This window comes from Homo sapiens, chromosome 16 (assembly GCF_000001405.40).
Source record: "Homo sapiens chromosome 16, GRCh38.p14 Primary Assembly".
NCBI lineage: Eukaryota > Metazoa > Chordata > Mammalia > Primates > Hominidae > Homo > Homo sapiens.
The window spans coordinates 29037834-29052844 of record NC_000016.10 but is presented as its reverse complement, the minus strand read 5'-3'; the positions used below and the strand labels follow the sequence as shown (position 1 = coordinate 29052844).

The 15011-nt window shown below is 46.2% G+C and overlaps 1 pseudogene; it reads right to left on the bottom strand.

Annotated features, from left to right (window-relative positions):
• On the bottom strand, positions 538-15011 carry NPIPB10P (nuclear pore complex interacting protein family, member B10, pseudogene; annotated as a pseudogene).

The window sequence follows — 15011 nt, the reverse complement described above, 5'->3', positions numbered from 1 at the left end:
TTAATTAAATACCTCAGGTCCCTCAGGCAATCATACCAGATATTGAAACAAAGCAATAACATAAGGACTGCAGTATTTATTTTATTTTTATATTATTTATTTATTCTTCGTTAGTTTGTTTTTGGAGCGTGGGTTTTGTTTTGTTTTTTGATTTTTTTCTTTTTTTCGACCCACGGATTTATTCTTATTGCCCAGGCTTGAGTGCAATGGCGTGTTCTCAGCTTACTCAACCTCCGCCTCTTGGGTTTGGGTAATTGTTGTGCCTCGGCCTCCCTCTGCCTCTTGGGCTTGGGCGATTGTTCCACCTCATCCACCCTCCACCTCTTGGGTTTGGGTGGTTTTTCCGCCTCGGCCTCCTGAGTAGCTAAGGGAGGAGTCTTGAGATTATCATCCACTGAGGGTGGAAGAGGAGAGGGTGGAAGCGGGACAAAGAGACATTCCTTCAGATTATCATCCACTGAGGGTGGAAGAGGAGAGGGTGGAAGCGGGACAAAGAGACATTCCTTCAGATTATCATCCACTGAGGGTGGAAGAGGAGAGGGTGGAAGAGGAGCAAGAGGACACTCCTTGATATTATCATCCGCTGAGGGTGGAAGGGGAGTGAGCAGACACTCGGGAGGTGTCTTGAGGCTCAGGGAGTTATCAGTTATAGAATGTTGTTGAGTTGGAGGAGGTGGCTGGCGGCCCATCCTGTTTTTTAAAGTTTCAGCTGTGAGGTAGGGCCAGTAGGGCAATCCTGAAGAATGACGATGCTCCGCTGCCGCCATTCTGACCTGTAGGGCCAAAGGAGGGAATGTTTTCACACATATTCATTTGATGGACAAAATTACCGCCACCAACACAGTCTGCACCTTCTGTTGCTGGTGATAGATTTTTGCACCTTTCCATCCTCCAGGTTTCAAAATAGCAGTATCAGTGTCATAATATCACCCTTCCACTGAGTACTGCCGACAGCTGGGGGGTAAAGAAAAGTCATTGGGACACACTGTTGTCTCCACATGCCACTGTGTCTGTCTGCAAATGTAGGCAGGCTGGGGTCCTGCCCCAGGGAAGACAGAGTCATAACAGAGTAATAAAGAAGCATGTTTGAGACACAGGAGTGTCTATGTCTATCCTCATTCCTCCCTCACAGCCATCACCAGAGCATGTTTCTTGCACCAGGTCAACAGACAGTAAGAGACAGTAAGAGAGGCATGAAAAGCCCATTGTCCACACATGTTGCAGCTTCTTTTTGGAGAATGTTTTCCAGGCCTTTTATGTTCTGTCTCTGACTCTCAGAACTCTGCAAGGTCAGTGTGACCACCCTGCTCCAAATCTAAGAAAACAGAGGTTTCCAGAGGAAGGAGAAATTGTGCCCAGGGTCACACAGCTTGCAAGAGGCAGAGTGGAAGTTGATTCCAGCTCTGCCTGCAGGACCCTCTCATTTCCCCTCTGTTTCCCTTCTTGACAAAGGATCTTCTTCACTCTGGAGGTGCCACCCATGAGAACAAAGAGCTCTGGAGAGATGTGGATTCCTGAAGAGCTGCAGGGGAACTGGGAGAGGGTTTTCTGACAGAACAATCTCACCTCAAGAAGTCACTTAGGCATGCATGGCTGTAATATTTCTTTTCACTCCCAGGTAATACCAAATTGTAAGTGCACTAGGACATAAAGAATACTTTTGTCCATGGAAAAATGAGGTGGGAATTCTAAACAAAGCAAGTTTTAAAACTGTGTTTCACTTCAAGTGCACAAGTCCCATCACGTGTAATCATAGGACTCGGCAGCTTTTGAAGGTACAGAGGCCACACAAGAACCAGCTTAGCTGAGCATCATTTAAGGCCTTCATTTGGAATTGTCCCTGTGGGTAATAAGTTACATTCACTCTTCACTAATTTACAGTCAGGGCCCATTTGCTATTACAAATATGGAACCTCTGACACTTTGAATATTAGATCAGGGGCCCCACTGGGTGGGGATGAAGGTGTTTTTGCACAACACGGTTACCAACAGGGATGGGACTGTGATGCCTGTAGGCAGCCTTCCTCTCTGCCATCTCCCTCTGCAGGGCTTGAGCACAGAGCTGTAGGGAGAAAAATGTATCCATGTCCTGACCTGGCAGACTATGTTCAAAAGCAAGGAAAACAAACAAACTTACCCAGTTGCAAAGAGCCTTTCTTGCAGAAGGGGGGATCTGAAAAAGCCAACACATGAGAAATTGAATGTTGAGAGAGTCTAAGAGCCGTGGCATCATCTGCATCAGCACTGAACTATCCTGCAACTGCGGGGAGGAAGCTCCTTACTTTGCATTTGTGGTAGTCCTCTGCCCGCCGCCGCAACTCTTGCGCACGTTGAAACATTTTCCTATGGATTACAATCACTTTCATCAGATAAAGCACCATGTTCAGGATGATTTTAAATAATCTGCCATGTTTCTGTTATCCTCACAACTGTACCCTTACACAATCTATCTCTACCTAGAAAACGTATTTCAGATGGCTATAAGAGTACAGTCTGAGCCGGTCACGGTGGCTGATGCCTGTAGTCCCAGCACTCTGGGAGGGCGAGGCGGATGGATCACGAGGTCAGGAGATTGAGACCATCCTGGCTAATACGGTGAAACCCCGTCTCTACTAAAAATACAAAAGATTAGCCGGGCGTGGTGGCAGGCACCTGTAATCCCAGCTACTCGGGAGGCTGAGGCAGGGGAATCACTTGAACCTGGGAGGCGGAGGTTGCAGTGAGCCAAGATCACGTCATTGCACTCCAGCCTGGGTGACACAGCGAGACTCCATCTCAGAAAAACAAAAACAAAAACAAAAACAAAAACAAAAAAACTGTACGGTCTGATCCAAACTGTTGCTGTATTGATTCCTCCTCTTGCTTACTGCCTGCTGACTTCTGAGATGATAGTTTCCTTCCCCATTCTCAGTATATCCCTAATTCATCCTTCATTGAGCATCTTTTATCATAAAGCTGTATTCTCTTTGTATTAATATCCTTACCGTGTTTCACAGGGCAGAAACAGCTGGGCTTATAAACAGGCATAGTCCTTTTGAAGGATGTGGTTGATCCTACAACAACACACTTTCCTAAGGATGACAACAACTCACCCCACCCCTAGAATGGCTGGTATGAACCGAGTTTCCACACGGTCTAGCTGGCAATGGGGTCAGGAGCCGTTTTGCTACTTCACATCTTTTGGTCACTGGTAAATATTAAGGTACTTTGTTTTCTGTTTTGTGAACTCTCTCTCTCTCTCACGATATGTCTTCTGACCATTTGTTTCTATTTCTGCATTTACTGGGACTAAACATTGTACAGAGGTTAAAAACAACACTCCAATGGGCGTTTCCCAGGAGGGTGGGGTTCAGTTTCTGAACTCACTTGTAGGTGTGTATTTCTTTCATATCCAATTTCCCATTTTCCTCTGCCTCTGATACCTGCCTCTCCTTTTCTGCGTGCTCACATTCTTTCATGCTTAGTTTCCTCAGGTTAGAAGGGAGAGAAATGCACACACATGATCCACCAGTCCATGTGGGATTCCCTCTGCCCTTCTGGCATCTGAAGGCTGTGATTCAAAGATCCCCCCTGCAACCTTCCCACAAATGAACCAACTGATTCTCACAACCGAAGGGAGAATGGACACCTCCCATTGAGGGACCAAAAAAAATCACACTCTGGCCTGCTGGCAAGTCACCTGTCATTTCCAGCTCATCTTCATAGTTCCATAGTTAGTCCTATTCTTTAGTAAATATAGAGACTATTAAAAGCTTCTATGAGGTGCACTATGTGTGTCTCTGGGGTCAGTCTTGTGCTTGACACAGCGAAAGATCATTTTAGTTCAGTGTGAAAAACCAGACCTCACCAACTCATCACAACTAACTCCATCGGAAGCAGAGGATTGCTCCTCATCTGACTCTTCCTGTGTGAGACCTGCTTCTCAGTCAGAGGCTGATGCCAGAACTGAGACCAACAGCCATAGAGAGATCCTTCCAGAATATGGTGTCATTAACCCCGCCGTTCACTACTGCACTTTGCCATGATTCAGGACTGGAACTCTTGTCATCGACTTTAAAGATCCTGGTTGAGAGAAAAGGCAATCTGAATGCTGGGCGCATCTATTGAATTAGAAATGATCAGAATGGCTCCTAAGTCAGGGTGTTATGTCCTGAAAATAGGTGACAACGGCAAACCATCCACCCTGGTGTTGACTGACTTTAACAAGGTTCAGTTCACAGAGTTTGAGGGCAGAAAAAGGAAATGGCCTAAAAAGGGTAAGTTTGCTGTGTTGCCCTCACACCACTTGATTCATGGTCCTGATCCTAAGGATCTCACCTGATACTTGGTTTTATAGGAAGGATGTGTAAAATTCCCAGAACGCTAGGAAACAGGGGCGAAAACACTTCAAAGGGAAAGTTAATGAACTTGTTTCTGACCACAGGGCATCCTTCAGCACATGCTGTCTGGAGTGGCCTCCAACAAGGAGTGTGTGGTGTGGTGCTGAGAATGCAATGGGAGCAGGGTCCTGTCCCCATGCTAAAGAAGCTCACAGTTTAATGCAAATGAGAAGCCAGTGAGGACATCACTACTCCTGCTGTGCACTTGGGAACTAGAAACACAAAACCTGACTCTGGAGGGAAGCTAAGGAAGCATTCTACTCTTGAGTTGACATAAGTGCATCTGAAGCTTCTGATCTCCGATGAGAACAATGGGGGACACCAAACAGAATATAAAACCCATGATTGAATACATCAAATTGCTAACATGGCAGTAAACAGACATGAGGTGAAGATGGAGAAGAAGGAAACCCAGGACGAAAGTCAGCCTCGCATTTGGAACCCATTTCCCTGAGTTTCATTGCTGAATTCCAGAAGGAACTACTGAGATGCAAAGAAGCACAGCAGCTTTTGCACACATGCGTGGGATTAGATGGAAAACAAGTGGATTGAGGGTCTGCCAATGAAAGCGACCCGTACTGAAGTCCACTGGCTCTGGTTGAGACCCAGAAGAGTCATGCATCAGAATAGAGGTGGACAGGAAATACCCTGGCCTTTGTAGGGACTGAGCCTGCACCGACGACCTCAATTGCAGCCTGTATGGAGGACCCGTGACCATCCCCCAGAAGTAGACTCCCATCTCTTCTGCAGCAAGATAACATGCCACTAGGCCTCAATTCATTGCTAAATATTTTTTAACAAGTATCTCACATTTAACAAAAAGAGATCAGTCATATGGCAGCAAAATACAATGTAATATGACCAAAACATGAAAGACTGTGAAAATGAATCTGGAGGTGACCCAAGCATTGAATTCAACAATCCAGGCTGGGTGCGGTGGCTCACACTGGGAGGCTGAGGTAGGCAGATCACCTGAGGTCAGGAGTTCAAGACTAGCCTGGCCAACATGGTGAACCCCTGTCTCTACTAAAAATACAAAAATTGGGCCGGGCACGGTGGCTCACGCCTGTAATCCCAGCACATTGGGAGGCCGAGGTGTGTGGATCATGATGTCCAGAGTTCTAGACCAGCTTGGCCAATATGGTGAAACCCCGCCTCTACTAAGAATACAAAAATTATCCGGGCATGGTGGCATATGCCTGTAGTCCCAGCTACTCAAGAGGCTGAGGGATAAGAATCGCTTGAACCTGGGAGGCGGAGGTTGCAGTGAGCCAAGATCATGCCACTGCACTCTAGCCTGGGTGACAGAGTGAGACTCTGTCTCAAAAAAAAAAAAAAAAATTGGCCGAATGTGGTGGCACACACCTGTAATCCAAGCTACTCAGGAAGCTGAGGCAGAATTGCTTCAAACTGGGAGGCAGAGGTTGCAGTGAGCCAAGATTGCACCATAGCACTCCAGCCTGGGCGACAGAGCGAGATTCTATCTCAAAATTAAAAAAAAAAAAAAAAAAAGGCTGGGTGTGGTGGCTCACACCTCTAATCCCAGCACTTTGGGAGGCTGAGGCAGGTGGATTACCTGAGGTCAGAAGTTCGAGACCAGCCTGGACAACATGGTGAAACCCCATCTCTAGTAAAAATACAAAAATTAGCTGGGCGTGGTGGTGGGCACCTGTAATCCCAGCTACTTGGGAGGCTGAGGCAGGAGAATTGCTTGAAGCCAAAAGGCAGTGAGCTGAGATTGTGCCATTGCACTACAGCCTGGGCAACAACAGCAAAGCTCCATCTCAGGAAAAAAAAAAAAAGAGAGAGAAAGGAAAACCAATGCCAGTACTAGCAACTCCTCTTCCCCCGAAAAAATTACAAACAAGAATGTAGGAAGGGAAAGGAATTATACAGCTTAAACTAATGAAGCAGAAAGGACAAACTCAATTTTGAGCCCACTGAATTTGCCACAAATATTGTAGAAAATATTCTCAAGGACTTTACAGTTGTCTACTTTGATTGGCACATGGTTCATACAACAGTATTTGTGTCAAGGCACATCTTACTGTTTTCTGGCGGTCTTCCTCTTTCCATTGATTTTGTCATGACGGTTGATTTTCGTTGTCACCTTCCTCTTACGGATTTTAGCTCTAACTTTTGTTTCCACATGCCTCCGTAGAGTAATGACGTCTTTCAGGCCAATTTTATTTCCTCGAAAGGAAGAAACTCTTTTCTTTGTGTGCATACAAATGGACCTCAGCCCTTGGTGAGAGTGAGGAGAGGAGAAGGTGAGAAACCTGAGGTCAAGAAGCTGTTCTTTCCCTTTCCAGGGCAAACTCATTTCCACACTATGGGGACTCCAACAGAGCCATACCTTTCTGTCTACTGCGGTTGGACCTCCAGGCTCTCTGCTGTACATCCGTGGATCCATCATGTCCATTTCGAGACCAGAAGATAGTCTTCAGGAGAGACACCTAGGAAATAATAATATAAGAATGACGGCTGGGCACGGTGGCTCATGCGTATAAATAATCCCAGTACTTTGGGAGGCTGAGGCAGGTGGATCACGGGGTCAGGAGTTCAAGACCAGCCTGGCCAAGATGGTGAAACCCTGTCTCTACTAAAAATACAAAAATTAGCCAGGCATGGCAGCGGGCGCCTGTAATCCAAGCTACTCGGGAGGCTGAGGCAGAGAACCATTTGAAGCTGGGAGGCGGAGGTTGCAGTGAGCCGAGATCACACCACTGTACTCCAGCCTGAGCGACAGAATGAGACTCTGTCACACACACACACACACACACACACACACACGAGAATGACATGAGGCTGGCACGGTGGCTCACTCCTGTAATCCCAGCACTTTGGGAGGCCGAGGCAGGCGGATCACCTGAGGTCGGGAGTTTGAGACCAGCCTCACCAACATGGAGAAACGCTGTCTCTGCTAAAAATACAAAATTAGCCAGGCATGGTGGTGCATGCCTGTAGTCCCAGCTAGTCAGGAGGCTGAGGCAGGAGAATCACTTGAACCCAGCAGGAAAAGGTTGTGGTGAGCTGAGATTGTGCCATTGCACTCCAAACCTGGGCAACAAAATTGAAACTCTGTCTCAAAAAAAAAAAAAAAAAAAAAAAAAAAAAAAAATAGCCCAAGTGCGGTAGCTCACGCCTGTAATCCCAGCACTTTGGGAGGCTGAGGCGGGTGAATCACAAGGTCAAGAGATGGAGACCATCCTGGGCAACATGGTGAAACCCCGTCTCTACTAAAAATACAAAAATTAGCTGAGCATGGTGATGCACGCCTGTAGTCCCAGCTACTCGGGAGGCTGAGGCAGGAGAACTGCTTGAACCCAGGAGGCAGAGGTTGCAGTGAGCCAAGATCCCACCACTGCACTCCAGCCTGGTGACAGAGTGAGACTCCGTCTCAAAAAAAAAAAAAAAAATGACATGAATATACTTCACACAACTGAACTGTACACTTCAACACGGTTAGATGGTAATTATCATCTTATAAGTATTTTCCCACAGGTTAACATGTTTCACAACTTGAAAAGGAAGTAATTACCTTCAGCTCTCTGAGTTCTAGAATTTGTAACATTTCACCCCCTGCTCCTTCCTGATCTGCACTGGAGCATCTTCCTTCTGTCCCTGCTCTACTCAGAGTTCACTTTCCCTTCCCTCACATCAGCTTCATTGAGGCTGGTTTGAACTTAACGCAAAACATTCTCACTAATGACTGAATTCCCACCAAGATTTCCATATTATCACAGTATGCTTTTAATCTTCTAAGATATTAAATATTTGTTCTCATCATAGCGAAAATGCAATGCAAATCCCATCTCAGATGTGGGTCAGATACCTATGAATCTCCTGAGGTAGTCATTGAAATGACTTTTTTCTTGAGATGGAGTGTCACTCTCAACCATGCTGAAGTGCAGTGGCACTACCTTGGCTCACGGCAACCTCCACCTCCCAGATTCAAGCGATTCTTGTGCCTCGGCCTCCCAAGTAGCTGGGATTACAGGTGCCTGCTACCATGCCTGGCTAATTTTTGTCTTTTTAGTAGAGATGGGGTTTCACCATGTTGGCCCATCTGGTCTTGAACTCCTGACCTCAAGTCATCCACCTGCCTCAGCCTCCCAAAGTGCTGGGATTACAGGCATGAGCCACCACACCTGGCCTGAAATAATATCTTTCAAATTCTTTGTAGAATTTGTTTTTTCCTGATTTCTGCACATAGGATAAAAAAAAAATCATGTACTAGGATTTCGAGAGAAGCAATGGGTAATCTAAAAAGATGAAAAGAGCAACCACGTCAATCCCACAGCTACTACTAGATTTCATAGGAAAGGTAGCTGGCCCAGTTTGGAGCTAGGAGAAATGTCAAACACATGAAGAAATGACAAGCAAAGAAATGCCATCACGCATGAATGCTTCATGGCACCCATGATGTCCCTGCTTAGGAGGTAATGGTATAGATGACTAGATGACAAGGACAAAGATGAGAGGTGCGAAGTTGTCCAAGTCCAGCAGCTCAACTGAACTTTCCTAAATGGAACTGTTAAAAAGTGGTAAATTTAAAAACTTCCCCTGGCTCACGTGGTGGCTCACGCTTGTAATCCCAGCACTTTGGGAGGCTGAGGCGGGTGGATCATTTGAGGTCGGGTTTTGAGACTAGCCTGGCCAACATGGTAAAACCCCGACTCTACTAAAAATACAAAAATTTGCTGGGCATGGTGGTGGGCACCTGTAATCCCAGCTACTTGAGAGGCTGAGGCAGGGGAATCACTTGAAGCCAGGAGGTGGAGGTTGCAGTGAGCCGAGATCACACCATTATACTCCAGCCTGGGCAACAGAGGGAGACTCGTCTCGGGGGTGAGAAAAGAAAAAAAAAAAAAAAGCTTCCTCCAATTTATACCGAAAATTCTCTGTTCAGGACTAAGTGGCATAGAGAATGTTAAGTGTGCCTAGATATCTTCATAACTCATATATTTTCTGTTTTCTACATATCTTGAAAGGCAGTGCCAAATGACGTGTAATTATCTAGGTGGTAAAACTGAAACATACTTCCTCTTCCCTTGAATATAAAAAAGCATTGTGGTATTAGTACTTTTATCTTGGATCATTGTTCAGGAGGTTCAGCCCCCAGAAAACCACATTTTTACTGTCATGAATGGCAAGACAAAATGTAGAGCTCAACTTACCCAAAGGAAAAAAGGCTCAAAAGACAAATTATGGCACAACTTAGCAGCCAAATTCTTACCAAGTACAGACTTTTGACATACTGATCTCTCTCCAGTTGCAAGTGGGAACATGCACTTTGAATGATGTCATTCAAAATTACCCTGCCCAGACACACTTTTCATTGATTCTCTTGGAGGGCAGTTCTAAGAGATTCTCTGGGGCTTTCTCTGCATCATGAGACGCAGTGCAGTTCTGCCCTTCACCTTCCGGCAGTTTGTCACCTCGTCCCTATGACCTCAGAGGAACTTTGTCTCAGGCCAATTGTTTGTTCCTTGGCCTCTTTCATTTCCCCTAAAAATCATTTGCTGCCCCTCTAAATGGCCTACATCTCCATCTATCTCCCTCTCCCCTCAGAAGAGGGTGCTCTTTAAGCATCAACCATCCGGCCCTTCTAGCAGTCTCATTTTTCAGCTGGTTCCCATGTTTATGCCTGTTCTATGTTTTCCTTTTCCTGTTAAGCTGTCTGTTGTCAGCTCATTTCTGCAGTGAATCTTCAGAGAGGAGATTGGAAGCTTTCCTTCCACCCATACGATAGAACTATAAAGCAGAAGAGTTTAGAAAGAATTTCCTATTTAAGTGACGAAACCTCATACTCCATTTGTGATAAATAGCACAAAGGCTAAAAAAACTTATTTTTGACCAAAAGCTCTGTTGACATTCTATTAAACAAACACCGACCTATTTAATTTTCATAATGTAAATGGCAGACATTTTCATAATTCTTATGCTAATAAATCATTTCCCTGATTTTTTGGGTAAAACCACATATTCATAATGAAGTCCAGAAACGTGAATTGTTTTATATAATTTATTCTTATTTGTGATTACAAGTATACCTCTACAGAAAGTTAGTATACTCACACAAAGGCAACTTGTGCAGAAGAGAATGTTAAATGTGTAACGTCTCAGAAACCCAATAATGATAATTATCAAATTATCCAATTTTTGTGGAGATGGGGTTTTGCCATGTTGGCCAGGGTGGTCTCGAACTCCTACACCAAAGTCAGTCTCACGATGACGATAGACAGCCAGACTATTGATAACCTGGAATAATAATAGTTGAAATAATGAAAAGGTCAATGACACCGACAATATTTCACTCAGAAAGAATCATCCTTAGAAACCGTCAACCTCCTCCAAAAGGTAACCACATCCCTCAGATATCACCGTGGGATTCCACTGCTACAAAAAAGAACAGAAGTTAGAAGTCTCATGTTTTTCAGATGGCTGGTAGTGTTTTTAGGCATTGCAAATGTGGGGTGTTGTCTTTCTTGGTATAAAGCAGGGATATCCAATCTTTTCACTTCCCTGCCTATATTAAAAGAAACAAAGTTGTCTTGAGCCACACATAACATACACTAACACTAACAATAGCTGATGATCTAAAAAAAAACTCTTTTTTTTTTTTTTTTTGGAGACAGAGTTCCGCTCCACTCAGTCGCCCAGGCTGGAGTGCAGTGGTGCAATCTCGGCTCACTGCAACCTCCAGCTCCTGGGCTCAAGCCATTCTCCTCCCTCAGCCTCCCGAGTAGCTGAGATTACAGGTCTCTGCCACCATGCCCGACTCATTTTTGTATTTTTAGTAGAGATGAGGTTTCACCATGTTGGCCAGTCTGGCCTTGAACTCCTGGCAGGCGATCTGCCTGCCTCGGCCTCCCAAAGTGCTGGGATTACAGGTGTGAGCCACCGTGCCCAGCCATTTTTTTTTGTTTTTGTTTTTGTTTGGTGTTTTGTTTTTGAGATGGGGTCTCACTCTGTCACCCAGGCTGGAGTGCAGTGGCGTGCTCTCGGCTCACTGCAACCTCTGACTCTCAGGTTCAAGTGATTCTCCTGCCTCAGCCTCCTGAGTAGCTGGGAGTACAGGTGCCTGACAATGCACTCAGCAAATTTTTGTATTTTTTGTGGAGATGGGGTTTTGCCATGTTGGCCAGGGTGGTCTCGAACTCCTGACCTCAGGTAATCTGCCCGCCTCAGCCTCCCAAAGTGCTGGGATTACACGCATGAGCCACTGTACCTGGCCAAAATCTCCTAATGTTTTAAGAAAGTTTACAAATTTGTGTTGAACTGCATTCAAAACTGTCCTGGGCCACATGCAGCCCGTCACTCATGGCTAAGACAAGCTAAGTATAAAGTAATTATCTTTTCTTTTTGTTTGGAGACAAAGTCTTGCTCTGTCACCCAGGCTAGATTGCAGTGGCATGATCTCAGCTCACTGCAACCTCCGCCTCCCGGGTTCAAGCGATTCTCCTGCCTCAGCTACTGAGTAACTGGGATTACAGGCGCCTGCCACCGCACTCGGCTAATTTTTGTATTTTGAGTAGAAACAGGGTTTCACCATCTTGGCCAGGCTGGTCTCCAACTCGTGACCTCTTGATCCACCTGCCTCGGCCTCCCAAAGTGCTGGGAATACAGGTGTGAGCCACTGCACCTGGCCAGTAGTTATCTTTTCTTTAAAGTTATTTACTTGTTTTTTAAATTGATGTATAACATTGGATGCATTTATTATATATCACATGGTAAAAGAATCCCTCTAAATAATACTTCTCTCTTGGATTATATGAATCTTTGTCATTTGAAGCTCAGCATAAGTAAAAAAAAAAAAATACAATGAAGAGATTACTTCATTCACAAATAAGTATCAAATTTTAGTGCTTAAAAATTAACAAGGTGGGCCGGGTGTGGTGGCTCACGCCTGCAATCTCAGCACTTTGGGAAGCCGAGGTGGGTGGACCACGAGATCAGGAGATTGAGACCATCCTAGCTAACACGGTGAAACCCATCTCTACTAAAATTACAAAAAATTAGCAGGGCATGGTGGCACGTGCCTATAGTTCCAGCTACTTGGGAGGCTGAGGCAGAAGAATCACTTGAACCCGGGAGGCAGAGGTTGCAGTGAGCCGAGATCGCACCACTGCACTTCAGCCTGGGTGACAGAGCGAGACTCTGTCTCAAAAAAAAAAAAAAAAAAAAAAAAAATTACCAAGGTGGAGATCATGAAAATGGCATGAATAGTGTGGGATTTCTCTAAGATTGTTGATATTAATTCCATTAGACTCTTATGTGAGTGAAGACGAAGACTTCCCCTGAGTAAGTTCAGACAGCTTGTGATAACATTTCTACGTCGATTCCTCAGGATTTAACTATATATTCTTGAAAACATCTCAATTTTAAATGTTTCTTTCAAGATGGTGAATTAAACAGAGATAGCCCTTCAACAGGTTGAACTCAGCATATGCTGAGTCTGAAATGGAAATGATGGAGTTAGAGAACCATACAACAATGGTAATGATTTCAGAAACATGGTGTTGAGCAGAACAAAGCAGACACAAAAGAGTACCTATGGCATGGCATGCATCTGTATACGCAAAATTCCAGAATAAGCAAGCTAACCTATGATAAGAAAGAGACTGGCTGGGAAGAGTGAGAGTTCACTTTCTGGGGTGACATAATAGTGTAGATCTTGGCTGGGCACGGTGGTTCACGCCTGTAATCCCAACGCTTTGGGAGGCCGAGGCGGGCGGATCACCTGAGGTCGGGAGTTCAAAACCAGCCTGACCAACATGGAGAAACCCTATCTCTACTAAAAATACAAAATTAGCTGGGAGTGGTGGCACATGTCTGTAATCCCAGCCACCCGGGAGGCTGAGGCAGGAGAATCGCTCAAACCTGGGAAGCAGAGGTTGCGGTGAGCTGATATTGCCCCATTGCACTCCAGCCTGGGCAACAAGGGAGAAACTGTCTCAAAATAAATAAATAAATAAATAAATAAAATAATGTAGATCTTGAAAGGGGGTCGGTTTATGCTGGTGTATGTACTTTCCAAAGTTAGTAAACTTACACTTAAGGTTATATATTTTGGCCAGGCGCGGTGGCTCACGCCTGTAATCCCAGCACTGGGAGGCCGAGGCAGGCAGATCACGAGGTCAAGAGATGGAGACTATCCTGGCGAACATGGTGAAACCCCGTCTCTACTAAAAACACAAAAATTAGCCAGGCGTTGTAATCTGAGCTACTCAGGAGGCTGAGGCAGGACAATTGCTTGAACCCCGGAAGCGGAGGTTGCAGTGAGCCGAGATCTTGCCACTGCACTCCAGCCTGGGCGACAGAGTGAGACTCTGTCTAAAAAAAAAAAAAAAAAAAAGTCATCAAACCAGATGACACAAATCAAATGACATTTCACTTTGTTTTGGTCCATTTTGTTTGTTAGAGACAAGAGTGCAGCGGGGCCATCTCAGCTCACTGCAACGTCCAGCTCCTGGGCCCAAGCGATCCTCCCACCTCAGCCTCTCCAGTAACTGGGATAACAGGTACGCACCACCAGGCCCGACTAATCTTTTTTGGAATTTTTTGTAGAGATGGGGTTTCGCCATGATGCCCTGGCTAGTCTTCAACTCCTGGACTCAAGTGATCTGCCCACCTCGGCCCCCTAAAGTGCTGGGATTACAGGCCTGAGCTGTGTAATTTCATGCCGCGTGACACAGCCCAGTAAAAAGGAAGAAACCCCGCGGGTCCAGCGTCTACTCACAGGGGTGGGCTGATGGCTGATAAATCCCAGCAGGAGCCAAATGAGGAGCCAAAAGCGCAGCCGCATGTCCTGGTCCTTTCAGGGCGCCCTGAGGCGGCCAGGACAGAGGTGGAGGTGGCTTAGGGCAGGGGGGAGGGAAGGGGACGGGGACCGGGGCGGATCTGAGTTGGGGAGGGGCAGGGGAGGGGGAGGGGAAGGGGAGGGGGAGGGGAAGGGGAGGGGAAGGGGAGGGGGAGGGGAAGGGGAGGGGGAGGGGAAGGGAAAGGAGAAGGGGGCTGTTGGGCACCTGGAGGAGGTGGAGGAGGAGGAGGAGAAGAAGAAAGGGGTCTGGGAAAGGATCCGGTTCAAATTAAGTTCTCAAGCGCTGGTGGAAGGTTTAGCTACAGGTCACGGAGAAGATCAGGGAAGCAACAGGACACGCGGGGCAAGGGAGCGTGAGGCTTAGGAGCAATCAGAGGGAGACAAAAAGGTTCTGCTATCCGCCAAACCTTCTTCGGTCTGGGCCCTCCCTTAGCAAACCTGGGGCTTTATACTCCCTCTCCACCAATCCCTGATGACCCCGGTGGTGCCTCACAATGGACAATGCCAAGTAGCGCCCGCATCATTCCAATGACCCCTCCCCCATCTCAGTCTCCCACACTCCTCGCAAGGACAGGTCCTCTCTGGAACCTTCACAAACCTGATTTCTGGTCCTCCCCAACCAGCTCCCTGTCCCTGCTTCTGGGCGCTCCTTCCTTCCTGAGCTCCCAGGGTTCCTCAAGGTCACTTTTGGCGACAAAACATAAAAAACAAATGATGGCAGGATGGCAGGAAGAACCTCATACCCAAGCAGAGTGCCAGGTTTTACAGCCTCCGCTCAGCCATTCATATCCTAAGCAACAAAACAT